This window comes from Homo sapiens, chromosome 20 (assembly GCF_000001405.40).
Source record: "Homo sapiens chromosome 20, GRCh38.p14 Primary Assembly".
Lineage (NCBI taxonomy): Eukaryota > Metazoa > Chordata > Mammalia > Primates > Hominidae > Homo > Homo sapiens.
The window spans coordinates 35,012,497-35,039,228 of record NC_000020.11 but is presented as its reverse complement, the minus strand read 5'-3'; the positions used below and the strand labels follow the sequence as shown (position 1 = coordinate 35,039,228).

Here is a 26,732-nt window from a genome sequence, read left to right as displayed (position 1 = left end):
TCCTACATGCTGTCCTGAGAGGAGCAGGTCAAGCAGCAGGAGCTATTTTTGCTGAGAACAGAAGTATAAGAGTAAAAATCCAGCTATGTGAAGATTTTCATGTAGAATACAAATTCTTTTTATTTCTTTTTTGTTTTTTTTGCTTTGTTTTATTTTGAGACACAGTCTGGCTATGTTGCCCAGGCTGGAGTGTAGTGGCACAATCTTGGCTTACTGCAACCACCACTTTCTGGTTCAAGCGATTCTCGTGCCTCAGTCTGCGAAGTAGCTGGGACTACAGGCATGCGCCACCAGGCCCGACTAATTTTTTTGTATTTTTAGTAGACATCGGTTTTGCCATATTGGCCAGGCTGGTCTTGAACTCCCAAACTCAGGTGATCCACCCACCTCGGCCTCCCAAAGTGCTGGGATTACAGGCATGGGCCACCATGCCCCGCCTACTGATTTGTTTTTAGAAAAAATAATACACACCTAAAATTTTTTTTAAATGATACAAAAAGTACAGCAGAGAGTTTGTTCCCCTCCCTGTGGTAACTTTTTACCAGTTTCTTAAACGTCCTTCGAAAAATATTCTATACATGCCCAATCATGGGACGGGGGAAGGAGGGAGGGACAGAGAGAGATTGACTCCTGTTTGTACAGATGGTAATGTAAATAGGTAATATAAAATAAGTGCTGCTCTCTTTTTATTAAACTTATCTTGCCAAAAATTACACTCTAGTATATATAGAATTATATGATTCCTTTTTGTAATTATATAATATTCTATTATACAGGCATACTGTAATTTAATTAGTCCCCCATTAATGGAAATTGGTAAGTGTTGACAAATTAACCCTCCAAAGAAATTACTTGTTCATCTTCCCCACCGTGTTGTCTGTAGCCTTTCCCAGTACAGAGCATTATCAAACTTTTTTATATTTGCCAAGCTGATATGTTAAAAAAAAAAATGGTGTCTCAAACAAAAATCTATTTCTGTGTAATTATTTTATGGAGATGGAAGTCACGTAACATAAAATTAGCCGTCTTAAAGTGAACAACTCAGCGGCATTTAGTACATTTACAGTGTTGTGCAGCTACCACCTCTATCTAGTTGCACGTTTTCATCACCCCAAAAGGAAACGCCGTACACATTAAGCAGCTTCTTCCCATTACCCCTTCTCCCCAACTGCTGGCAACCACCATTCTGCTTTTTTCTCTGTGGATTTACCTATTCAGATTACTTCATATACAGTCATGTTGTCACTTAGCAGTCTCTATCCTTCTGAGAAATGCAGTGAGGTGATTTTGTCATTGTGTGAATGTCATAGAGTGTACTTGCACAAACCTAGCTGGTATAGCCCATGATACACTTAGGCTGCAAACCTGTACAGCATGTTTCTGTACTAAATACAGTAGGCAGTTGTACCATAATGGTAAGTATTTGTGTATCTAAACATAGAAAAAAGGTATAGTAAAAATACAGTATTATAATCTGATGGCACCACCGTCTTCTGTGTGGTCGTTGTTGACCGCAACAGCGTTAATGCAGTGCATAACTGTAAATGGAATCATATAGCATGTGGCCTTCTGAATCTGGTTTCTTTCACTTGGCATAATGTTTTTGTGGTTCATTAATGTTGTAGCATGTCAGTACTTCATTCCTTTATATGGCTGAATAATACTCATCATGTAGATACCACAGTTTGTTTATCCCTTCAGTTAATGGACATTTGGGATATTTTCATCTTTTGGCTGTTGGGAATAGTGCTGCTATGAACATGTGTGTACACATATTTGTGTGTGCACCTGTTTTCAATTCTTTTGGGTATATATGTAGGAGTGAAATTGCTGGGTCATATGGTAATTTTATGTTTGACTTTTTTTTTTTTTTTTTTTTTTTGAGACAGAGTCTCGCTCTTTCGCCCAGGCCGGAGTGCAGTGGCGCGATCTCCGCTCACTGCAAGCTCTGCCTCCTGGGTTCACGCCATTCTCCTGCCTTAGCCTCCCAAGTAGCTGGGACTACAGGCGCCTGCCACCGCGCCCAGCTAATTTTTTGTACTTCTTAGTAGAGATGGGGTTTCACCGTGTTAGCCAGGATGGTCTCGATCTCCTGACCTTGTGATCCACCCGCCTCGGCCTCCCAAAGTGCTGGGATTACAGGCGTGAGCCACCGTGCCTGGCCAACTTTTTGAGGAACCTCAATGTAGTTTTATTTTATAACTAAGGTCAAACATCATCTTATAGCCACTCACTAATTATGGGAGGGGTGTGTGTGTGTGTGTGTGTTTGTGTGCGCACGCGTTGAGACAGAGTATCACTCTTGCCCAGGCTGGAGTACAGTGGTGCAGTCTCAGCTCACTGCAACCTCTGCATCCCAGGTTCAAGCAATTCTCATGCCTCAGCCTCCTGAGTAGCTGGGACTACAGGCGCACGATACCACGCCTGGCTAATTTTTGTATTATTGGTAGAGATGGAGTTCGCCATGTTGACCAGGCTGGTCTTAAACTCCTAGCTTCAAGTGATCCACCCACCTTGGCCTCCCAAAGTGCTAGGATTACAGGCATGAGCCACCGTGCCTGGCCAGCTTGTCTTACTTTATCTCTACTCCCATTCACTATACCCTACTTCACCTTGGGTTATTTTGAAGTAAACCCCAGACATCGTATAATTTCACCTGCATATATTTCAGTGTTTCTACATGATAACGACTTTTAAGAAACGTAACTGCCACTGTATCAAAAATTAATAGTAATCCCTTGATATCCTGAAATATCTAGTTATTTATTAATTTTTAATTAGGTGTAACATTCACATGGTTCCAAAAAATCTGCGGATTCAAAAAGGTATTTATTGAAAAGTTTCAGTTCCACTGTTACTCTCAGTGACCTAAATCCCCTTTTCCACTTGACGGACATTTTGGCTGTTTCCATCTTATGGCTGTTTACTGTGGCAGCCACTGCTCTTGGCTTCTTTTCTGTCCTTCCAGGGAGACTTAATGCATATACAGGCAAACATGATCAGGCATTAGTCTCATTTTAAAGAAGGTTAAATGATGGAGTCAGGATTTGAATCTGGATCTCCCTGCCTCCAAAGTTTATGATGTTCTAATATGCCGATCAGAATTTCCACCTCACTCATTGTGAATAAAATGAGATTGGTGGAAAGAAAAATTGGGTGATTATTCAGTTTTTTTCTTTACCTTAAAAAAATGTTTATCTTTCATCCTGCTAGTAAATGTTACAGGAAAATTAGAAACTATAGATGAGTAATTTTAAGAGAATTGTTTGTATTCTCTCCTGCTTAGGAACAGCCACAGTAAATTCCTTGGTATATATGCTTTCATTCCTTGTGTATTTTGAAGAAGCAAATATTTAAATTTTTGAAGAAAATTAAATTCATATTGTTTAATAATTTACTCTCTAACAAGTAAACAGCTGTTTTGAGTCACTATATAAAGATGTATGTGTCATCATTCTTAGTGTCTATGCAGTATTCCATTGTATAAATGTGTCATTGTATTTAATTAATCAGCTGTTGATGAACATTTAGTTACCTTCACCTTTTTGCTGTTACAGAAACCACATCAGTGAACCTCCTTATACAGATATTCTCGTGTAATATGACTGGTTATTTCGTTATGGTAAATTCCCAGAAATTGACCTCTTGGCTCAAAGACACACACATTTAAGGCATAAAGATTATTCTAATTTATATTCCCAGTAGATAAAAAGCCTGTTTCCCTGTACCTGCTAAAAACTGAGCTTATGCCTGTAACATAATTACTATTTACCTTGGTTTGACATTCATTTTAAAAGAGTAGCTTTAGCTACTATCAGAGTAAGAATTATTCCTATCATGCAGATTGTTTGTTAGGGCTTTAGGGGTAGTTTTGCTGGTCTCTATTTTGAAAATTTCCTCGCTTGTTCTTTCCCTGGCAGCGGCCCTTCTCAGCATTCCTGGCTTTGTTGAGCGGCTTTGCAAACTGGCGACTCGAAAGGTGTCAGAGTCAACGGGCACAGCCAGCTTCCTTCAGGAGTTGGAAGAGTGGTACACATGGCTAGACAATGCTTTGGTGCTAGATGCCCTGATGCGAGTGGCCAATGAGGAGTCAGAGCACAATCAAGGTATGGAAGGATGGGTCCCCTGAGTGATCGGGAGCTTTTCCTTGGGCGCCTGGGACCATTCTTGCTCTTCTTTCCAAGAAGGATTAATTTGAGATTTGCTCAGAGTAGAATTGTCCTCAAGGCAATTCTAGACCATGACTATTAAGACTCTTTTGACAGCTTGTTACAGAAACTTCATTGAACTCCCCAAAGTGGACCTGATTTCAGGGAGAAGGGCTTTGTTGCAGACCTGAGACAGCTGTGTCTCAGGGACTAACAAGAACCAGTAACCAGAGCATTCTTAGGAACCTAGAAACTTCTCTCCTCGTCTCTTTTTCTTTCTACAGTGTTTCTTAGTCTTCTCTCTCACTGTACCCTACCTTTTCCTGGTCCCCTTGATGGGACTAGGCAGAAGACTGCCTATTAAATAAGAAGACTCCCAGTCTCAGCTCCAGCTTCCTGGTAAAGAACTCTGGCCCATCTTTGGTTAGGTGCCCAGCCTTAAAGCATTTGACTCTGGCCAGCAGGTTCAGAATATACAAACCCAGGAATTCTCAGCTCCCAAACAAGGAATAGGTTTCTCATTGGGAGTGGGGGGCCATCAGCTTTTCTTCTTCCCTCCAGCTCCAAATTGAAGAGACTAAGTTCTCGGTGAGTATGGCAAAGAGGTCAGAGGCTTCCTTCCTCCACCCAGCTCCATACTGTACTCACGGTGTGGAAGCTCTATCCCACATACTTGAGGCCAAGAATTCTATGGCTCTGATCACCTTTGCCCTAGCTTGCTCATGTACAGAGGTTTTACACTGGGAGAGGCAAGCCCGGAAGACTAGAGGCTACTGACCCTGCTCTGAGAATTTGCCCACAGAGAGAGGCAGTTAATAAGAACAGAGTCCAGGGAAGTTCATGCCTGAGGAGATTTTGATGGTAAGCAAATAAAAAGAGGTACCTCTTCTTTTTTTTTACTCTTTTTTTTTTTTTTTTTTTTTTTTTTTGAGACGGAGTCTCGCTCTGTCGCCCAGGTCGGACTGCGGACTGCAGTGGCGCAATCTCGGCTCACTGCAAGCTCCGCTTCCCGGGTTCACGCCATTCTCCTGCCTCAGCCTCCCGAGTAGCTGGGACTACAGGCGCCCGCCACCGCGCCCGGCTAATTTTTTGTATTTTTAGTAGAGACGGGGTTTCACCTTGTTAGCCAGGATGGTCTCGATCTCCTGACCTCATGATCCACCCGCCTCGGCCTCCCAAAGTGCTGGGATTACAGGCGTGAGCCACCGCGCCCGGCCTTTACTCTTTTATTTTTTATATTTTCTCTTTTTTGAATAGAGACGGGTTTTGCCATGTTGGTCAGGCTGGTCTCAAACTCCTGGCCTCAAGTGATCCACCCTCCTTGGCCTCCCAGAGTGCCAGGTTTATAGGCATGAGCCACTGTGCCTGGCCAGGTACCCTCTTCTTAATTAAGAACAGGGTGATCTACAGGCCAGCTAGTTCACCAGAGAACCAGGGAAGGAGACAGCTGAGAAGAACTCTCCCAAGGTCAGAACAAAGCTCAATTTCAAAAATTACCCCTTCCTGAATTTAATTGAATTAGACTTTGGAGCAGTGTATACTCCAGGGCATTATCAAAAACAGTCGAGAATTCAGTCAGCAGTTAGTAGAGCCTAACAGCTGGATGTGATACCAGAAGAGGTAGAAAGCTTAACAGAGAGATCATGGAAAGAGCTAGTCAAAGACAGCCTGGCTCAATGTCATCCCAGGGAGACTCTGTACATGCCCAAGGTTGCACTCTCTGAGGCACAACATGAAAATCTTCACCAGTCTTTGGGGAAGGAGACTTTACGAAAATAGTCTAACCAAGTCACTAAACTAATAAATAAGCAAATAACAACAACAAACCCTGAAGGAGGGGGAATCAGTATCCAGAGTTGCTACAGTATATTACTTAAAATGTCCTTTTTTGAGATGGAGTCTCTTGTCGCCCAGGTTGGAGGGCAGTGGCACAATCTCGGCTCACTGCAACCTCTGTCTCCCATGTTCAAGCAGTTCTCTCTCAGCCTCCCGAGTAGCTGGGGTTACAGGTGCATGCCACCACACCCGGCTAATTTTTTGTATTTTAGTAGAGAAAGGATTTTACCTAGTTGCTGGTATTGAACTCCTGAGCTCAGGCAATCCACCCACCTTGGCCTCCCAAAGTGCTAGGATTACAGGCGTGAGCTACCACACCCAGCCTAAAATGTCCAGTTTTTAACAAAAATTGAGACATACACACAAAAAACAGGAAGTGTAACCTATACACAAGAAAAAGCAGGCAACAGAAATTTCCTGTGAAAGGGTCCAGATACCAGATTTAACAGCAGCCATTAAAAATATGATCAAAGGGCTGGGCGCGTTGGCTCACACCTGTAATCCCAGCACTTTGGGAGGCTGAGGCGGGCGGATCACGAGGTCAGGAGATCGAGACTATCCTGGCTAAGACGGTGAAACCCCGTCTCTACTAAAAATACAAAAAATTAGCTGGGCGTGGTGGCAGGCGCCTGTAGTCCCAGCTACTGGGGAGGCCTGAGGCAGGAGAATGGCGAGAACCTGGGAGGCAGAGGTTGCAGTGAGCCGAGATCCTGCCACTGCATTTCAGCCTGGGCGACAGTGCGAGACTCTGTCTCAAAAAAAAAAAAAAAAAAAAAAGATCAAAGAACTAAAACTATGCTTGAAGAAGTAAAGGACTATTTGATAATGTGTCGTTAAATAGAGAATAACAATAAAAAGATAGGAAGTATTTGAAAAGAGCCCAGTGGAAGTTCTAGAATTGAAGAGTAGTATAATAATCAGGCCAGGTGTGGTGGCTCACACCTGTAATCCCAGCACTTTGGGAGGCTGAGGCGGGCAGAGCATTTGAGGCCAGGAGTTCAAGATTGGCCAGGCCAACATGGCAAAACCCCATCTCTATTAAAAATATAAAGGTTAGATGGCCATGGTGGTGCACACCTGTAATCCCAGCACTTTGGGAGGCTGAGGTGGGCGGAGCACTTGAGGCCAGGAGTTTGACATCAGCCAGGCCAACATGGCGAAACCCCATCTCTATTAAAAATACAAAAGCTAGATGGCCATGGTGGTGCACACCTGGAATCCCAGCTACTTGGATTGCTGAGGCATGAGAATCGATTGAACCCGGGGCAGAGGTTGCAGTGTGCTGAGATGGTGCCACTGCAGTTGCGCCTGGGTGACAAAGTGAGACTTTGTCTCAAAAAAAACTTTTTTTTAAGTAGTATAATAATCAAGATGAAAAAATCACTAGAAAGACTCAGCAGTAGATATGAACTGGCAGAAGAAAGACTCAGCAAAATAGGTTGATAGAGATTAAACATTCTAAAGAACAGAGGGAAGAAAGAATAAAGAAAACAGGGCCTTAAAATAATGTGGGGCACTATTAAGCACACCAAGATATGCATAATGGGAGTACCAGAAGGAGATAAAGTAACAGAAAAATTATCAAAGAAATAATGCTGAAAATCTCCCAAATGTAATGTAAATCATTAATGCACACATTCAAGAAGCCCAAAGAATCCAAGTCGGAATACTCAGATCCACATGCAGACACATGGTAATAAAAACGCTGAGGCCTGGCATGTTGGCGCACACCTGTAATCCCTGCACTTTAGGAAGCCAAGAAGGGTGGATTGCTTGAGCTCAGGAGTTCAAGACCAGCCTGGGGAATGTGGCAAAACCCCATCTCTTTGAAAAAAAAAAAAAAAAAAAAAAAAAGTTAACCAGGGGTAGTAGTGCACACCTGTAATCCCAGCTACTCAGGAGACTGAGATGGGACAATCACCTCAACCCAGGAGGATGAGGCTGTAGTGAGCTGCAATCACAGCCTGGGTGACAGAGCGAGACCCTGCCTCCAAAAAGAAAAAAAAAAAATCCTGAAAGATAAGAAAATCTTGAAAGTAGTAAGAGAAAAATGGCTCATCATGCCCAAGGATATTCCAATAAGATTAGTGGCTGACTGCTCATCAGGAATAATGGAAGGCAGAAGGCAGTAGGGTGACATATTCAGAATGCTGAAAGAAAACAGTCAACCAAGAATCTTGTATTTTACAAAACTATGTTTCAAAGATGAAGTTGAAATAAAAACATTCTTAGAAAAGAAAAACTGAAAGAACTCATTAGTAACAGACAAACATCTGGAAATTAAGCAGCATACCGACTTATGAGAAATACCAAAGGAAGTTCTTCAGGTTGAAAGCAGGTGACTTCAGACAGTAATTTGACTCCACATGAAAAACAAAGAGCACCTTAAGTAAAGGTAATTCTGTAATTGTAAGAGATTGTGTAAATGCATATTTCTTCTCCTTTTCTTCAGTTAAAAAACTTACACAAACCATCTAATTATATTGTTGAACCTATAACATATGGAAACATATTTTGCAATAACTGTACAAAGAAAACGGGTGGTACCAAAGTTGTAATGGAGTATCATGACACCAAATTGCAACTTGAATCCCTAGGAATCGGTGAGGAGAACCAAAATGGTAATAAGAGGGTAAATATAAAAACTCCATAAATGTATACTTGCTCTTCATTCCTTTTCTCAGTTTCTCTAACATAAAATTATTTAAAGTAACAATTAGAACAAGTATTGTTGGGCTTTTAACATACATAGATACAATATGCACAATTACAGCACAAAAAGAATGAAGATGGAATGGAGCTCTAAGTTAGAATAAATCCGAAAATGCTTGCTTCAGCAACACATATTCCAAAATTGGAACAGTACAGAGATTAGCATGGCCCCTGTGCAAGGATGACATGCAAATTCCTGATGCATTCCATATTTATTTCTAATTTTTAAAAAAAATCTGGAAAAGATTAAGATGTATGTGGTAAGCAACTTCTTTTTTTTTTTTTTTTTTTGATATGGAGTTTCGCTCTTGTTACTCAGGCTGAAGTGCAGTGGTACCATCTTGGCTCCCCGCAACCTCCGCCTCCTGGGTTCAAGTGATTCCCCTACCTCAGCCTCTCTAGTAGCTGGGATTACAGGCATGTGCCACCATGCCCAGCTAATTTTGTATTTTTAGTAGAGACGGGGTTTCTCCATGTTAGTCAGGCTGGTCTCGATCTCCTGACCTCAGGTGGTCCACCCACCTTGGCCTCCCAAAGTGCTGGGATTACGGGTATGAGCCACCGCGCCAGCCAGCAACTTCTAAGAAAGTAACTTGGGGCTGGGCGCGGTGGCTCACGCCTGTAATCCCAGCACTTTGGGAGTCTGAGGTGGGCGGATCACGAGGTCAGGAGATCGAGACCACCCTGGCTAACGTGGTGAAACCCCGTCTCTACTAAAAATACAAAAAAATTAGCTGGGCGTGGTGGCGGGCGCCTGTAGTCCCAGCTGCTGGGGAGGCTGAGGCAGGAGAATGGCGTGAACCCAGGAGGCGGAGCTTGCAGTGAACCGAGATCGCGCCACTGCACTCCAGCCTGGGTGACAGAGCGAGACTCTGTCTCAAAAAAAAAAAAAAAAAAAAAAAAAGAAAGTAACTTGGGAAATATAGTAAAGAAATAATTGAAGGAGATATAATGTTATACTAGAAAATATTAATCAAAAGAAACACTAAAGGAGATATAGAGGAACAAAAAAACACACAAGACATACAGAAAACAAAAAGTTAAATGGCAGAAGTCAGTCCAGCCTTATCAATAGTAACATTAAATGTGAATAGATTTAACAATTCATTCAAAAGACAGATTGTTATATTGGATCAGAAAACAAGATCCAGTTATATGCAGCCTATAGAAAACACACTTTCAATTCAGAGATAAAATAGGTTGAAAGTAAAGGACAGAAAAAGATGTATCATGCAGGCAGCATCCACGAGAAAGCTGGAGAGGCTGTACTTTTAAAAAGTTGGAGGGACAGAGTCTCACTCTGTCACCCAGGCTGGAGTGCAGTGGCACGATCAGCTCACTGCAACCTCCACCTCCCGGGTTCAAGCAATTCTGATGCCTCAGCCTCCCAAGTAGTTGGGATTACAGGCGGGGAGCCCACGCCCAGCTCATTTTTGTGTGTGTTTTTAGTAGAGATGGGGTTTCAGCATGTTGGCCAGGTTGGTCTCAGATGGCCTCAGGTGATCTGCCTGCCTTGGCCTCTCAAAGTGCTGGGATTACAGGCATGAGCCACCACCACCCAGCCAAAAAAGCTGGAGAGACTTTAAAACAAAAACTGTTATCAGAGCAAAATAGGGATATTTGATAATAACAGGGTGAAACCATCAAGAAGATACAACAGTTATAAACATGTATGCATCCAAAAACAGCCCCCAAAAAATACATGAAGCAAAAACTAACAGATTGGAAGAGAGCAGTAGTTCAAAAACAACAGCTGGAGACCTTAACATACTACTTTTAATAATGGATAAAACTAAGCAGAAGATCAACAGGGAAACAGAAGACTTAAATAACACTGTATACCAACAAGGACTAACAGAGAACTGTAGAACCCTCCACCCAACTACTACAGAATGCACGTTCTTCTCAAGTGCACATGAACATTCTCCAGGACAGACCATATGCTAGGCTGTTAAAAAAAAGTTCAGCAAATTTAAAAGGATTAAAACTGTACAAAAGTATGTCCTCAAATCCCAGTGGGGTGAGTTAGAAATAAATAACAAACTTGGGAAATTAATAAATACATGCAAATTAAGCAGTATACTTCTAAATAACCAGTGGGTCAAACAGGAGATCACAAACAAAATTAGGAAGTGTCTTGAGGCCGGGCGCGGTGGCTCACACCTGTAGTCCCAGCCCTTTGGGAGGCCGAGGAGGCGGGTCGCTTAAGGTCAGGAGGTCCAGGCAGGAAAATTGCTTGAACCCCCGAGGCAGAGGTTGCAGTGAGCCGAGATCACACTACAGCCTGGGTGACAGAGTGAGATTCCATCAAAAAAAAAAAAGGAAATATTTTGAGACAAATGAAAATGATACTATATATCAAACTTATGGGATGCAGCTAAAGCGTGCTTAGAGGGAACTTTAGAGCTATAAATGCCTACATTTTTAAATAAATCTAAATTGCCTAAACGTCTACCTTAAGTCATTGGAAAAAGAACAAACATCTCAAAAGGAAAAGGAAGTAATAGGATTAGAGTGAAAACTGGTGAGATAGAGAATAGAAAAACAGTAGAGAAAATCTGTAAAACCAAAGGTGATTTTTTTAAAGGTAATCTTTAAAAAGATCAACAAAGTTGACAAACTTTTAGCCACACTGACCAAAAAAGAAAGGCTCAAATTACTAAATTAGAAATGAAAGAAGGTACGTTACAACCAACCTTAAGAAAGTAAGAGGACTCTAAGGGAATACTATAAACAATATAAGCCAATAAACTAAATAACCTAGATGAAATGAGCAAGTTAAAAGACACAAACTATTGCAGCTAACTCAGGAAGAAATAGAAAACCTGAAGTATAACAACGAGATTGAATAAATAATGAAAAACTGCCCACAAAGAAAAGTCCTGGCCCACATGGCTTCACTGGTTAATTCTACCAAATGTTTCAAGAAGAATTCACACCAATACTTTCCAGACTCTAATAGAAAATAAAAGAGGAAGGAACAGTTCCCAACTTACTCTTTGAGGTCATATTATCATGATACCAAAACCAGATAAAGACATCACAAGACCAGTATCTCTTATGATTATAGGTGCAAAAATCTTCAACAAAATACTAGCACACCAAGTATAGCAACATACAAGGATTGTATACCATGACCAAATGGATTTATGCAAGTTTGGTTCAACATTTGAAAATCAGTTTATGTAATACACTGTGTTAATAGAATAAAGGACAAAAACCACATGATCGTTTCCATAGGAGCAAAAAAGCATTTGACAAAATCCAACACCCTTTCATGGTAAAAACAAAAACTCAGGAGAGAACTTCCTCAGCCTGTTAAAGGGCATCTACAAAAACCCATGGCTGACATACCTAATGGCAAAAAATTGAAAGCTTCTACCACTAAGATCAGGAACAAGACGAGTTCCTGATCGTTTCTGGAAGTGGCAGTGCCATTGCCACTTCTCTTCAGCATCGTATTGGAGGTTCTGGCTAGGGCAGTTAGGCAAGAAAAAGAAATTAAAGGCATGCAAATTAGAAAAGTAGTGAAACTGTTCACAGATGGGATGATCTTATATGTAGAAAAATCTAAGGAATCTACTATAAAAACCAGTAAACTAATAAATAGGTTCAACAAAGGTTCAGAATACAAGGCTAATATTAAAAAATGAGTAGTATTTCTATAGAGTAGCAATCAACAAACCAAAAATTAAGAAAACAATTTTATTTATAATAGGATCAAAAAAATAAAATACTTAGGAACTTAAGTGTAAAACTTATACTCTGAGAATTCTAAAACATCATTGAAAGAAATTAAACCCTAAATAAATGTAAAGACATCCCATGTCTTTGAATCAGAAAATTAATATTGTTAAGATAATGATAGTCCCATTCTGATCTATAGATCAGCCTTACAGATTCAACACAATTTCTGTCATAACTCTCAGCTGACTACTTTGCACAAATGGAGTAGCTGATCCTAAAGTTCATGTGGAAATGCAGGAGACTTGGATTAACAAAAACAGTCTTGAACTAGGCCGGGTACAGTGACTCATGCCTGTAATCCCAGCACTTTGGGAGGCTGAGGCAGGAAGATCACTTGGCCTCAGGAGTTTGAGGCCAGCCTGGGTAACATAGTGAGACCCCTGTCTCTATAAAAAATTTAAAAATTAGGCAAGCCTCGTGACACCCACCTATAGTCCCAGCTACTCAAGAGGCTGAGGTGGGAGGGTAGCTTGAGCCCAGGAGTTTGAGGCTGCAGTAACCTGTGATTGTGCCACTGCACTCCAGCCTGGGTGACAGCAAGACTCTGTCTCAAAAAAAAAAAACAACCTAAGACAACTCACATCCTGACTTGAAAACTTACTACAAAGCTGCAATCGAGACACTATGCTGCTGGCCTGAGGATAGACATATTGATCAATGGAATATTGTTGAGAGTTCAGAAATAAACCCTCATGCTTATTATGATCAATTGATTTTCAGTGGGTACCAAGACCATTCATTGGTGGAAACAGTAGTAGTCTTTTCAACAAATGGTATTGGGACCATTTGATGTCCACATGCGAAAGAATGAAGTTAGATCCCCTGCCTTATGTCATATACAAAATTAAAAGGGTCAAAGACCTAAATGTAAGAGCTAAACCTGTGAAACCCTTAGAAGAAAACATAAGGATAAAGCTTCATGACCTTGGATTTAACAATTTAGCTGTCATACACAATGACATCTGAAGCACAAGCAACCAGATAAATAATAAATTGGACTTCATCAAAATTAAAACTTTTTGTTCTTCAGAAAACACAATGAGGAAAGTGAAAAGAGAACCCACAGAATGGAAGAACGTTTTTTGTGGGTAAGGCAGGGTGGGACATCTTTGCAAATAATATATCTAATAAGGGATTTGTATCTAGAATGTATAAAGAACTCTCATAACAATAATAAAAAAACCCATTTCAAAATATAGACAAAGGATCTGAATAGATGTTTCTCCAAAGAAGATATATAAATAATTATTAAGCACGTGAAAAATGTTCACCATCATTAGCCGTCAGGGAAATGCAAATCAAAACCACAGTGAGGCCAGGCACAGTGGCTGGCACCTGTAATCCCAATACTTTGGGAGGCCAAGGCAGGAGGATTGTTCAAGACCAGCTCAAACAACAGAGCAAGACCTCATCTCTACAAAAAAAAATTTTGTTTCGGTTAGCCAGGCATGGTGGCACGTGCCCATAGTCCTGACAACTTGGGAGGCTGAGGTGGGAGGATTGTTTGGGTCCAGAGTTCAATGCTGCAGTGAGCTGTGATCCTGCCACTGCACTTAAGTAGTCTAGATGATAGAGGAAAAAACAAACCCCACAATGATATAGTACTTCATACTCACTAGAATGGTTATCATCAAAAAAGGTGGATAATAAGGGTTGGCAAGAATATGGAGAAATCAGAGCCCTCAGTCACTATTAGTGGGCATGTAGAATAGTGCAGCCACTTTAGAAAAGAGTCTAGCAGTTCCTCAAAGGGTTAACATACAGTTATGTCATAGGGCCTAGAAATCCTACTCCCAGGTATATACCCAAGAGAAATGAAAATATATGTTACACAAAAATTTGTTCAGGTATGTTCATCACAGCATATTCATAACAGCCAAAATATGGAAACAACGCAAATGACTGTCACCTGATTAATGAATAAACAGAATTTTTTTTTTTTTTTTTTTTTTTTTTTTTTGAGACGGTCTCTCTCTGTCACCTAGGCTACAGTGCAGTGGTGTGATCACAGCTCATTGCAGCCCTGACCTCCCAGGCTCAGCCATCCTTCTACCTCAGCCTCCCGAGTAGCTGGAAACAGGTGCACACCACCACGCCCAGCTAATTTTTTTATTTTTTGTAATAAAAAGAGACAGGATCTTGCTGTGTTGCCCAAGCTGGTCTCAAACTCCTGCACTCAAATGATCTTCCCGTCTTGGTCTTCCAAAGTGCCGGAATTACAGGCCTGAGCCACTGTACCAAGCCAGAATGTGATATATTTATACTAGCGGATATTATTCAGCAATAAAAGGGAATGCTGATAGGGGCTACAACATGGATAAACCTTGAAAACATTGTACTAGGTGAAAGAAGCAGTCACAAAAGATGGCATATTGCATGAGTTCATTAATATGAAGTGTCCTGAACAGGCAATTGCATAGAGATGGAAAATAGTTTCATGGTTGCCTAGAGCTAAGGAGTTTGGTGGGAAATAGGAAGTGACTGGTAGTGAGTACAAGGCTGCTTTTGGGGGGTGATGAAGATATTCTAAAATTGATTGTGGTAATGGCTGCACAACTCTATGAATGTCCTAAAAATCACGATACCATGGTTAACTAAATGGGTGAATTGCATGGTATGTGAATTGTACCTCAAAGCTGTTAAAAAAAAAAAAAAGTGAGTGTGCATGTCCGCAGAAAACAGTGCAGTGCAGACAGAGAGTGGTGACCGCTCCAATCGGTGTGGTAGAGCTGAAGAGACTCAGGGGAGCACAGGCCTCGTGAGCTGGTTTTCCCATCCTCATCCTTGGGACTGACCTTGTTGCTAAGCTCTGGCCATTGCTTTGGAGACTGTTTCTTGAAAATATTTATCACAGAAAGTCTTGTCAGGCCTGCGCAAGCCAGGCACCAAAAGTTGGTGGTGACTTGGAGAGGGGTCAGGCTGCCCTGTCTCTTTCTTCGCAGACGTTCATTTCTCAGTAGGACTTGTGTGCCCCACACTGTGCCCACTGCTTGCATAAACATCCTTCCCTGCAGGACTCCCTAGAGCACCATGGGCTGGGTGCCGAGGATGCCAAGCACGCAAGGTCTCACAGCAGTGCACGACAGAGGCAGGATTCTGCGTGATAGTTCTTCAGGTTCACTTCACAGATTAGCTGACACTTAACTGTTCTGGAAGCTGGGCCAAGGAGTGCTAACATGGAAATTGAGTAACTATAGTTTTTTGCCCAAGGTACAGGAGAATAAATATGAGTAGATAGAATCTCTTAAATTAAAAATTTCTCCAGTAAATTTTTCCTAAGTCTTTGCCTCCTGCCTGTTTAGTTCCCATTAAAAGCTTGGAGATGAAAAAGAATACAAAGTAACAAGCAAGCATTCGCAGAAAAACTCAGTTTTCTGAGAACTTAACTTCTATTTAGTTTCTAATTGTATGTTGCTTACTTGGGGCTATGTTCCAGGCACCTTCAGTATATCCCTCTACTCCTTACAACATTAAGGGGTAGGTATGGTTGTCAGTATTGCTGTTTTACAAAGGAGGATGGATACTGAAGCACAGAGAGGTCCACTGATTTACTGAAGACCACCCGGCTAGTGAATGGGGTTCAAACCCAGTAGTCTGGCTTCAGGGTCAGTGCTCTTAACTACCGTGTCACACTGTGTCTCAGTCACACTTCATTCAGCAGCTTGTCGTCTTCCAAGGTTGTGATTTTAACATGACGGGGAAAGATAGTTCCAAGTCTGTAGGATAGAGTAAGTTAGATTCTCTCTTTTTTTTTTTTTTTTGAGACAGTCCAGCTCTGTCGCCCAGGCTGGAGTGCAGTGGCACGATCTCTGTTGGTTCACTGCAACCTTCACCTTCCAGGCTCAAGCGATCCTTCCACCTCTCCCTCTTGAGTAGCTGGGACTACAGGCGCATGCCACCATGCCCAGCTAATTTTTTAAATTTTTTTATAGCAATGAGGTCTCACTGTATTGTCCAGGCTGGTCTCAAACTCCTAGGCTCAAGCAGTCCACCTGCCTCGGCCTCCCAAAGTCCTGGGATCATAGGCATGAGCCACCACACCTAGTCGGAATAAGTTAGGGTCTTCTGTCTTGATACTTTAAAGAGTATCACTGTGTTTTCTGTATGAGCCTTACCTGAATATATCTGATAACCACTCCTCTATAACACATAGAGGCCTTTGCAAAAGGCCTCTAGGGAAGCAGTTCCTGTAGGAACTTGAGAGGACCTTGGCAGTTACTGATTCATCTGTTCACCTTTAAAATGAGGAAACTGAAGGGAAGTCACTCTGCTAAGATCACCTAGCCTCTCCTGACTCTGACCAATGCCCTCTTAAAATAGTAGGGATCTACGCTGGGCACCGTGGCTCACGCCTGTAATCCCAGCACTTTGGGAGGCTGAGGCGGGCAGATCACTTGAGGTCAGGAGTTCAAGACCAGCCCGGCCAACATGGTGAAACCCCATGTCTACTAAAAATAGAAAAATTAGCTGGGCGTGGTGGCACATGCCTGTAGTCCCAGCTACTCGGGAGGCTGAGGCAGGAGACTTGCTTGAAACCAGCAAGCGGAAGTTGCAGTGAGCCAAGGTCATGCCACTGCACTCCAGCCTGGGTGACAGAGCAAGACTCTGTAAATAAGTAAAGAAAGGATCTAGGAGTGAATGGGGGCTTCCTAAGAATCAGATGCTGGGCTTCTCTTACGTTCCCATTCAGTCTGCACAGTAACCCTAGCTGTCTGCTGCAGAGCAGTCTAAGGCCTAGTGAGGAGGTGACTGGCCCAAAGTCATAAAGCCAGCAAGTCTGACACATATCAAGTGTCCCATAAATATCACTTAGCTGCTGTTGATGTTAGCAGTAATGACATTGGGTAAAATGAAAATCTGCCTGTAGATAATATGTTCATCTGCATCAGTAGCATCAGTTGTGATACCCAGTCTGCTTTAGAAAGTTGAACCTTAGAAAAATTTAGATGGTTCTTCTTTTAAAAAACGGGGAATTCTTCAAAAAGAATCCCTCTTGGGCTTCAGCAGTGTCCCTCATGGAGTCTCAGCAGAAGAACCAAGTAAGCAGGGCCATTTGCGACTTGAAGAGCGGTCCCCATAATTTGCTGTCATACATCTGCCTGGGCACTTCCTGGGGGTCTGGTTGGTGGCAGGAGAAGGGCATAAGCAGGGAGGGATGGGTCATGTTACTGTATTGGCTGTGTCCGAATATTTTTACTTTATGTTAAAGTTGATGAGGCACAACTATTGCAGAGTCCATTTTTCCGAGTCTCTGCGCTCACCTGGCTCCTGGGATTGTGGAGGGAGTTTTGCAGCTTTCAGAGTCTGTGTTTTGGGCTCATGGCCCAGCCGAATGGCCATGCTACAAGTCTGTTCAGAGCAGGTTCGAGGGGCAGAAACGTGTTTCCTCACAAGCTGTGACTCAATCCTGTCTCCGGTGGCTGTGTCAGCCTCCATTGTGTTCCCTCCTCCAGGGGCTTCTGAGGAGAATGGCCTGCCTCACACGTCAGCCAGAACCCAGCTGCCCCAGTCAATGAAGATTATGCATGAGATCATGTACAAACTGGAAGTGCTCTATGTCCTCTGCGTGCTGCTGATGGGGCGTCAGCGAAACCAGGTGGGCCCCTCTCCAGCGTCTCAGGACACGGGGAGCAGGTGCTGCCCGGGTGCTCATGGTATGCCAGGTGCTCCACTGGGCCTTCTGTTAGAATGGCTCTCGCTTTAGCCTGGCAAAGCATAGGGGTATTTCTCCTTCTGTTCTACCTATAAGGAAACCAGGCTGATTCCAGAACCGGGAGTCTTTTCACTGTGCCTTGCTGTATGGAGCGTTTCTAGGCAGTCTTGGTTGGTGCTGAGGGCAGAAGCAGGCAGTTGCCTCTGTGAGGTGAAGACTAAAGAGTTGAAAGCTGGCAAGCCTGGCCCTGTGGACATGCTAGAGGAGTTGCCAACCTGATGTGGGCTCAGGGCAGTGGGACAGAGCCCAGAGCTGTGTCTGCTTAGGAAAACTGGGCAAGTACAGGGAGCTCCAGATGTGCAAGGTTCCCTGAGCCTTGAAGTAGTTCCAAGACGGAGGAGGAGGGGCCCATAACCTACAGTGGAGGAAAAAGGGCTTGGAACAGTGCGGCCCTCCTCAAGACTATTGAGAAGTAGCCTTTTCCTGCAGACCGCGCCCTTCTAGGGAGGAAACCAAGCATGGGGGCAGGAGAGGCTGGAGGCTCAGCAGTCCTTCCACATCTTTCTGAGTCAGACACTGGACTGTCACAAGTCTGGGCAACAGAGGTGCAGTTACCCCCATTTTACAAGTGAGGATGAAAACGTCCAGAAGAGAATGAAAGAGTGTACCAGGTGGGAGGGGGCAGTGCCCTGGGGAGGAGTGTGCATAGTTGCTGGAACAGTGAGGCAGCGCGGGACAGCCTGGAGCAAACAGCCAGGAGAGGAGGGCTGAGGGCTCACAGGGACCAGGTCATGTCAAGCTGTCACAGGCCATTTTAAAGACTTTGGTTTTTACTCTGAGTGAAGTGAGAAGTCATTCCTCTGACTGCTTTTGGAAAGACTGGAAACAGCAAGGAAGGGAATAGGGCGACCATTAGGGGCCCTCATAATAGGGCCAAGAGATGATAGCAGCTAGGACCAGCACATTGATGGTGGGACTGGTGGGAGGTGGTTGCATTCTGGATATGTTTTGAAAGATAGGATTTGCTGATGGTTTGGATGTGAACTTAAGAGTGAGGAGAGGAGTTAAGGGTGACTCCCAAGGTTTTTCGCCCAAGGAAGTAGGAGAATGGATTTGCCAGGTATTGAGGTGGTTAAGACTAGCAGGTAAGGGGTGGAGGAGCAGGCTTAGGGAGGAAGATGGGGAGTTGTGTTTTGTACAAGGTAGATTTGAGGTGTGTGTTAGAATTGACACTTGGATTGATTACCTACACCTGGTGTTGGGGAGATGGCAAGGCTGGAGGTATCACTTTGGGAGTCCTCAGCATATGGTTGTATTTAAAACCAGGACACTGGATGAGATCCCACGGTGATAGCCACAGCATTGGTGTCCCTTCCTTCAATACGGAACATGTTTTTAATAAAAAATAATAGTTTTAGGGACAGCTTTTATGCATTGAGTGCTATTACTTTTTTGAGGCACTTTCGCAGTTGCTTATATGTGAAATAATTGTAGGGACAGCTTCTGTGCATTGAGTGCTATTACTTTTTCGAGGCACTTTCACAGTTGTTTGAATTTTCAGGTATTTAGTAAGTTACACAACAGGTGGTGACTCTGTGTCCCCACACTCGATTCTTGAGAAAGCCAGGGCATAAACTGGGCTGTGCGCTCAGGGGACAGGCCTGGATAGAGCCAGGATTTAAACTCTGCTGCCCTGTCTCCTCTTTCTGCCCTCTCACAGCAGTTCTCTGTTCCCTGAGCCTTCTTGTTGCCAGGTTGCTATGAGTTGTTGCGGTCTTGAGTTAAACTGTATGATTACAGTGCTGGTTCCTTGGGAAGGGACCACTAATGACCTTGAAATCCTGGCCCCCCAAAACCACTGTTTCACTAGCGTGTTCTCATTTGCACAGTCAGCATTTCCTGGGTTTCTGCTGTGTGCCGGGCACCGTGAGGATCTGGATTCCCAGATCCTGCCTACACTGGGTAGCAAGGGGAAGGGTTTCCTTGGCCAGGCCTCACAGAAGGCTTCCTCCTTAAAGAGGCCTCCTCGTTAATGAGCAGTTGGGCCAAGTTCTCAGACCAATCTTGGCCAAATTGAAATCTCAGGACTGGAAAGGCTCCCCATGTGCTGTCAAGTTTCATCCCTCTGGTGCTAATGAAAACCATCCATATAGCAGTCGTTTCTTTTAGTGCCCCCTGAGTAGCTTCTACAGTACCTCACTGAGCCTTTTCAACAGCTCCATCGTCCCCCATCGCCTTTTCTATCAAGGGACTTGGGTTCAAAGAATGTTGCCCAGGGTCACAGAGCTATCTTGTGAACCCAGGGCTGTCTGACTGCAGAGATAAATGCCTGAGCCTGTACCCGCTGCCTCCTCTGGTAGAGTGGCACTTCATCTCGCCCACCTGCCTACCATCCTGCTATAGAGCAGGCTACGGGGCTGGACCTGAGAGTAGGAATAATGCATTCTACAAGTAAAATTTGTTTTACAAATTTTACACATGAAGAAGCTGCTATTTTCTTTCTTTCTTTTTTTTTTTTTTTTTTTTTTCTTTTTTTGAGACAGTCTTGCTCTGCCACCCAGGCTGGAGTGGTGCAGTGACATGACCTCGGCTCACTGCAACCTCTGCCTCCCCAGCTCAAGCGATCCTCTTGCCTCAGCCCTCCAAGTAGCTGGGGTTATAGGCACACACCACCACACCCAGCTAATTTTTGTATTTTTAGTAGAGACAGGGTTTCATCATGTTGGCCAGGATGGTCTGAAACTCCTGGCCTCAAGTGATCCGCCCGCCTTGGCCTCCCAAAGTGCTGGGATTAACAGGCGTGAGCCACCATGCCCGGCCGAGAAGCTGGTATTGTTAAGAGAAAAGGGAAATGATGTAGTAGAAACCTCAAACCTAAGCACTGGCCTGAACTTAGGAGACCCAGGGTCAGGTCCAAGTCTGCCTTAGAAGGCCCCTCTCTTCCCAGCTGTGTGACTCACCCCTAATCTCTTAAGCTTGGGTTTCTAGTCTGTGCAGTGAGGCAATTGCACTGGATGAATTTTTTTGGGCCATTGTTGGAACATTTTATAGCTGTGTGACCTGGGCCTGGCTTAGGGCCCTTTGGAGTGAGACAGGAAGGCACATGGCTTGGTGAACACCATAGATGTCAGCCGTACCTCCCCACCCCCAGTTAAGCAGGGCAAGGTAGATCCAGGCTGGGTTTTAGTAAAGGCCTGAGTGGCAGAACAGGTGTCATTTTACATCAGCCTCAGTCTAACAGATTCTGGGCTGCTTATGAGTCTTAACACTGGCCAGAGGCTGTGATTTCTAGTAGGAAGAGAATAGTCACCTCTATTACTTTCAGTGGCAAAAATCGCAATTACTTTTACACAACCTAATATGTTGAAGGAAGAGGTCCATGGAAATGGAGGCTGCCAGGGATGTCTTTGTCAGCTTCTGGTCTCCCAAGATAAATGCATACCTGTAGTGGGCTAGAAAGGGGCAGACTTAAGATCTGAACACCTGAGTTAGGTGCCGTTGCAATCACTGACCTTACCCAGGCTGGTCTTGCTGAACTTCTCCCCCTTGTAAAATAGCAATAAGCGAGCACTGGTGCTGTGTGCAGAGCTTTACATCTGCTTTCTGACTCGATCCTTACAACAGCCCCGAGAAGGGCTAGTAATAGCCTTATGTTATATAAACAAATTTTAACAGGGAAATCATTCCTGCAGTTCTGTTTTAAAAGATATAAATTAGTATAAGTGAAGCCTCTCTCCCCTCTGATCCTTGACATTCTATTCTAATGGTTCCATGAAGCAGCTAATTTTACCAGTTATTAGTGTATCCTTCTAGAGACATTTTTATGCTTACAAAGGCGAATTGTATTCCTCTTTTTTTACACAATCAGTAATACAGCATGAGCACACTTGCTTTCCCAGTATTATCTCTCGGCAATTGTTCAGTTCACGACATATAAAATACCTTGATTCTTTTTTACTGGTGCCTTGTATCCCATTGAGTGGCATACCATAATTTATTTTGGGGTATTACAAATAATGCTATAGTGAGTAGTGTTGTAAATATATATCATTTAGTGTTTATATGGATCTGTCTGAGTGTAAATTCCTAAAGTGGAATTGCTGGTTTAAAGGGATTATGGATTTGCAATTTTAGAGCTACTGCCAAACACTCTTCCCTGTGCAGGTCATACCAGTGTGCCCTCCCACCAACAGCGTGTGAATGTACCCAATGCCCAAGTCACCAACACGGTCTTATAAAGCTTTGTCATCTTTCCCAGTCTGAAAAAGTGAAAAATCAGAGACATTTGTAGGACTCCTTATAGAGGAATTTCTTTGCCTGTGGCATGAATTGCCAATGTATGTTCTCTGTTTGTCATATTTGGCTTGTGACTTTGCTTGAGTTTTGCCATACAGAATTTTTAAAGGTTTAGGTGGTTGATGTCAACAAGCTTCTTTTTGAGCTTCTAGGTTTATTATAATCCTTCAGAAAGGCTTTTCCAACTCTTAGATCATTTTTTTTTCTTTGCAGAGATTTTTCTAGATCTTAGAGTTTTTTAATAATTGTATCTTACTTTCAGCTGAAATTTATCCTAGTGCAAAGCATGAGGAACATTTTGATGTTAATACGAGGAGACAAATCTTAAGGAATTTGTTTAAGGTTACAAAGTTTGCACATGGTAAAGCTAAGAGTCAAACCCAGGACTCTTGCATCCCAAAGGACTCTTGAATCATATGCAGGACTCTCTGAATCCCAAACTCATGCTTCTGTGATAGGAACTACCGGACATTATGCCTTGTAGGATTATTGTGAGCATTAATGAGCAAAGTTAGAAAGTGGGTTTGTGTGTGCTGGGCATAGGGGATACACGGATGTTTTCTTCAGACCCTGGCCCTCCTTACTGACAGTACTGATACTTGTCCTGAATATCATTATCGTGTGTACTGAGCACGAGGTTTTGCTAGATTTTTCAAGCACATTTGTCTTAATACTTTTTCCTTCCTATCCCATTCAGGTTCACAGAATGATTGCAGAGTTCAAGCTGATCCCTGGACTTAATAATTTGTTTGACAAACTGATTTGGAGGAAGCATTCAGCATCTGCCCTTGTCCTCCATGGTCACAACCAGAACTGTGACTGTAGCCCGGTAAGCAGGAGACCCCCGGGGACAGATGGGGCCTCACTGGCTTGGAGTAGTTGTTTCAAGACCTGCTGCTGACCCTTTGACCTTTTTTCCTTTGGGAGTAGAGCAGAAACTAAAATCATATCTTATAGTCCCCTAATTGGAAGCTACCTTGGAGTAGGATCTGAGTGAACTCCACTCCCCACCCCAACCTATGCAGAAATCCCTTTTAAGATCTTCCTAGGCTGGGCACAGTGACTCAGGCCTGTAATCCCAGCACTTTGGGAGGCCGAGCGGGCAGATCACTTGAGGTCAAGAGTTACAGACCAGCCTGGCCAACATGGTGAAACCCTGTCTCACTAGTGTGAGAGACACTTGCGTCTCTCACTAAAAATACAAAAATTGGCCAGGTATGGTGTTGGGTGCCTGTAATCCCAACTCTTCGGGAGGCTGAGGCACCAGAATTGCTTGAACCCAGGAGGCAGAGGTTGCAGTGAGCTGAGATCACGCCACTGGACTCCAGCCTGCGTAACAAAGTGAGACTGTGTCTCAAAAAAAAAAAAAAAAAAAGTTCCTGCCTGAGGCCCTCTAGCCAACTTCCCCTTGTAATCTCTGTGATAGGGATCTCATTTCACTCCAGGCAGGGGCTGCCCACTGCATGAGCTAGCAGCCTGCTTTTCCTTATTTGCTGTTTTATCCTATTGTAATTTTCATCCACCTATAGAACCGTGCTCCCGGGCGTGGTGGTCACACCCGTAATCCCAGCAGTTTGAAAGGCCAAGGCGGGCAGATCACTTGAGGTCAGGAGTTCGAGACCAGCCTGGCCAACATGGTGAAACCCCGTCTCTACTAAAAATACAAAAATTAGCCAGGCATGTTGGTGGGGCACCTGTAATCCCTGCTACTCAGGAGGCTGAGGTGGGAGAATCACTTGAACCCGGGAGGTAGAGGTTGCAGTGAACTAAGATCAAGCCACTGCACATCCGGCCTGGGTGACAGAGCAAAGACACTGTCTCATACAAAAAAAGGTGGCTTTGGTTTTTTGAGCCCAAGCACTCTCCTTTAGCTTGTGTCTCTCACAGTCCCCTTGAGAGAGCTCTGAACAGGACATTGGAAGGCTTGTTGGAAGAGCTTGAATGAATCACTGAATCTCTGAGCCTCTGTTTTCTTGCAAAAGAAGGATAATACTCTTTCCCCTATTGGCCCCCCGGCTAGTCGGCACCCTGCCTACCAGCATGAGAAGGAAAGTGCTCTGGGACCTAAAAGTGCCACCCAGCCATCGGCCTGGTGCCATGGGGCCCTCTTCTCTTCACTGCACTCTGGGGACTTCCCTCAGCGACCTGTCTTCTGCTTTATCATTTGAGTTTTTAATTTCAAGCAAATATATTTTGCATTTCTAGATGTTCTGTCTGGCTCAATTCGGAAACTGCTTAGCCATGATGTTAATATCTTTTTTCTGCTGCATATTCTGTTTTTAATCATTTTTAAAATACTTTCTTAAGGTCTCTTTCGATTGCTCATGGGGCACTAATGCTTGTGTTTGGGTCTTCAGACCTCAGGGTGGAGTGTTGCCTCGTGTTTTGTAATGTCTGTGGAGCGGCCACCAGAATTGCTTGAACCCAGGAGGCAGAGGTTGCAGTGAGCTGAGATCACGCCACTGCACTCCAGCCTGGGCAACAGAGTGAGACTGTGTCTCAAAAAAAAAAAAAAAAAAAAATTCTGCCTGAGGCCCTCTAGCCACTTCCCCTTGTAATCTCTGTGATGGGGATCTCATTTCACTCCAGGCAGGGAGGGGGCTGCCCACTGCATGAGCTAGCAGCCTGCTTTTCCTTATTTGCTGTTTTATCCTATTGTAATTTTCATCCACCTATAGAAACGTGCTCCCGGGCATGGTGGCTCACACCCGTAATCCCAGCACTTTGAGAGGCCAAGGCGGGCAGATCACTTGAGGTCAGTGGGGTTAGTTTCCCCCTTGGATACCTGTGTAGCCTCAGCCCTGGAGGCATTTCTACAGGGCACTTTTGCTTTTGTCTGGCAGCTGTCCCAGGGCCAGTTTTCTTATTTAATGTCTTGGCCCTACTGCCCCAGTCGTATGAGCCCAGGGTTTCTGCTGCTCTTGGGAGGGCCCCCTTCACCCACCAGCAGCACCATGGCAGAGCCAGGCTCCCTGGGCTGGTGGGTCAGGCCTTTCTAACCCTTCTTTCACCAAGTGTACATGCTCCCCAGGCTTTACTGGGACCTGACACCCTGTCTAGTCCCTGCAGGGCATTAAAACCCAAGCCTTAGTGTGACTAGGTCTTGTCTCCACCTCTCCACACTGCCCACAGCTGCTGAGTATCAGTTCCTTGGCTCACTATTCCAAACTCCTCGGTCCTTTCTTCATTTCTAACTCCTATGGACTTCCCCCGCTCCTCCCCACACGTGTTGTTTTGTTTGTTGGTTGGTTGGATTTTTGGGACAGAGTCTCCATCACCCAGGCTGGAGTGCAGTCAGTGGTGCGATCTCGGCTCACTGCAACTTCCGCCTCCCAGGTTCAAGTGATTCTCCTGCCTCAGCCTCCTGAGTAGCCAGAATTACAGGCGCAGCAACTATGCCTGGCTAATTTTTGTATTTTTAGTAGAGACAGGGTTTGCCATGTTGCCCAGGCTGGTCTCAAGCTCCTGACCTCAAGCGATCTGCCCGCCTCGGCCTCCCAAAGTGCTGTGATTACAGGTGTAACCACCACGCCCCGCCTTATTTTTTATTGAGTGTGATGGCATGTTTTTAGCAGGAAGGGGGCCACATTAGCTTAATCTGCTGTTGATCAGATGTGGAAGTGAACAGATGGTTTTCTAACTAAAGAAAAGTCCTCATGGTACATGAGGACAGAGGCTTAGAGAAGCAGGCTCCCACCAGAGTGTCTGCTTGTGTTATTTTGGAACCTTGTGGCTGTGGTCCTAACATTGAGGCTGTGCATGTGTTTCAGGACATCACCTTGAAGATACAGTTTTTGAGGCTTCTTCAGAGCTTCAGTGACCACCACGAGTAAGTACAAGAGTGTCCCTGCAAGGAGAGTTGTTGGGCTGTCTTCGGAAGGCCTCGATCTCCTTGTCTGGTCCCTGACCTCAGCTCGAGAGGAGGCCCTGGAGCTGGTGGAAGCCCACTGTCCCCTCAGTGTTAGCAGGTGTGACACTGCAGTCGGACCTCCCGTCTTTCCAGACTTCCTTATGGCAGGCACTGCCCCAAGCTTTCTTCTAACCCTCATAGCCACCCCAGGAACTGAGTATGGAAGTCGTTGGCCCCTTACTACCTTTGGAATCAATGGATTTCTCAACCTACTGCCCCTCTAAAGCAAGAGTGGACAGCGTGGCTATTCCCAGGGGCCGGCAGGAACTTCAGACAGGCAAAGCCGACTGCTTACTGAGCAGCTGGAGGATTCTTCCCTCCACAAGGAGGTGTGCTCCCATTTTTCTTGAAAGACATTCTGCGCTCATTTATTTTTTAACCTTCGATGGAGAATGTACAAGGAAAATTACTCTCTGCTGTAAGGAAAACA

The 26,732-nt window shown here is 44.1% G+C and overlaps 1 protein-coding gene and 1 pseudogene across 11 annotated transcripts in view, besides 1 other annotated feature; both read left to right on the top strand.

Moving 5' to 3' along the window:
• TRPC4AP (transient receptor potential cation channel subfamily C member 4 associated protein) overlaps positions 1 to 26,732 on the top strand; it is a 90,404-nt gene that overhangs the window by 53,579 nt on the left and 10,093 nt on the right. For 7 of the 11 annotated variants that reach the window (XM_047440095.1, NM_015638.3, XM_047440101.1 and 4 more), the window contains 4 exons: positions 3,921 to 4,106; positions 17,873 to 18,039; positions 23,090 to 23,221; positions 26,163 to 26,221. In XM_047440095.1, coding sequence (XP_047296051.1) covers positions 3,921 to 4,106; positions 17,873 to 18,039; positions 23,090 to 23,221; positions 26,163 to 26,221 — 544 coding nt within the window. The remainder of the gene's footprint in view (positions 1 to 3,920; positions 4,107 to 17,872; positions 18,040 to 23,089; positions 23,222 to 26,162; positions 26,222 to 26,732) is intronic. The other 4 variants (XM_047440096.1, NM_199368.2, XM_047440098.1 and 1 more) reach the window with 2 other exon arrangements.
• RNU6-407P (RNA, U6 small nuclear 407, pseudogene) lies at positions 8,809 to 8,912 on the top strand (annotated as a pseudogene).
• Positions 20,936 to 21,136: a silencer, noted in NCBI's record as "peak4198 fragment used in MPRA reporter construct". NCBI's record gives its function as "represses an SCP1 promoter by STARR-seq MPRAs in K562 erythroleukemia cells {active_cell/tissue: K562}" and the evidence as "EXISTENCE:reporter gene assay evidence [ECO:0000049][PMID:32103011]".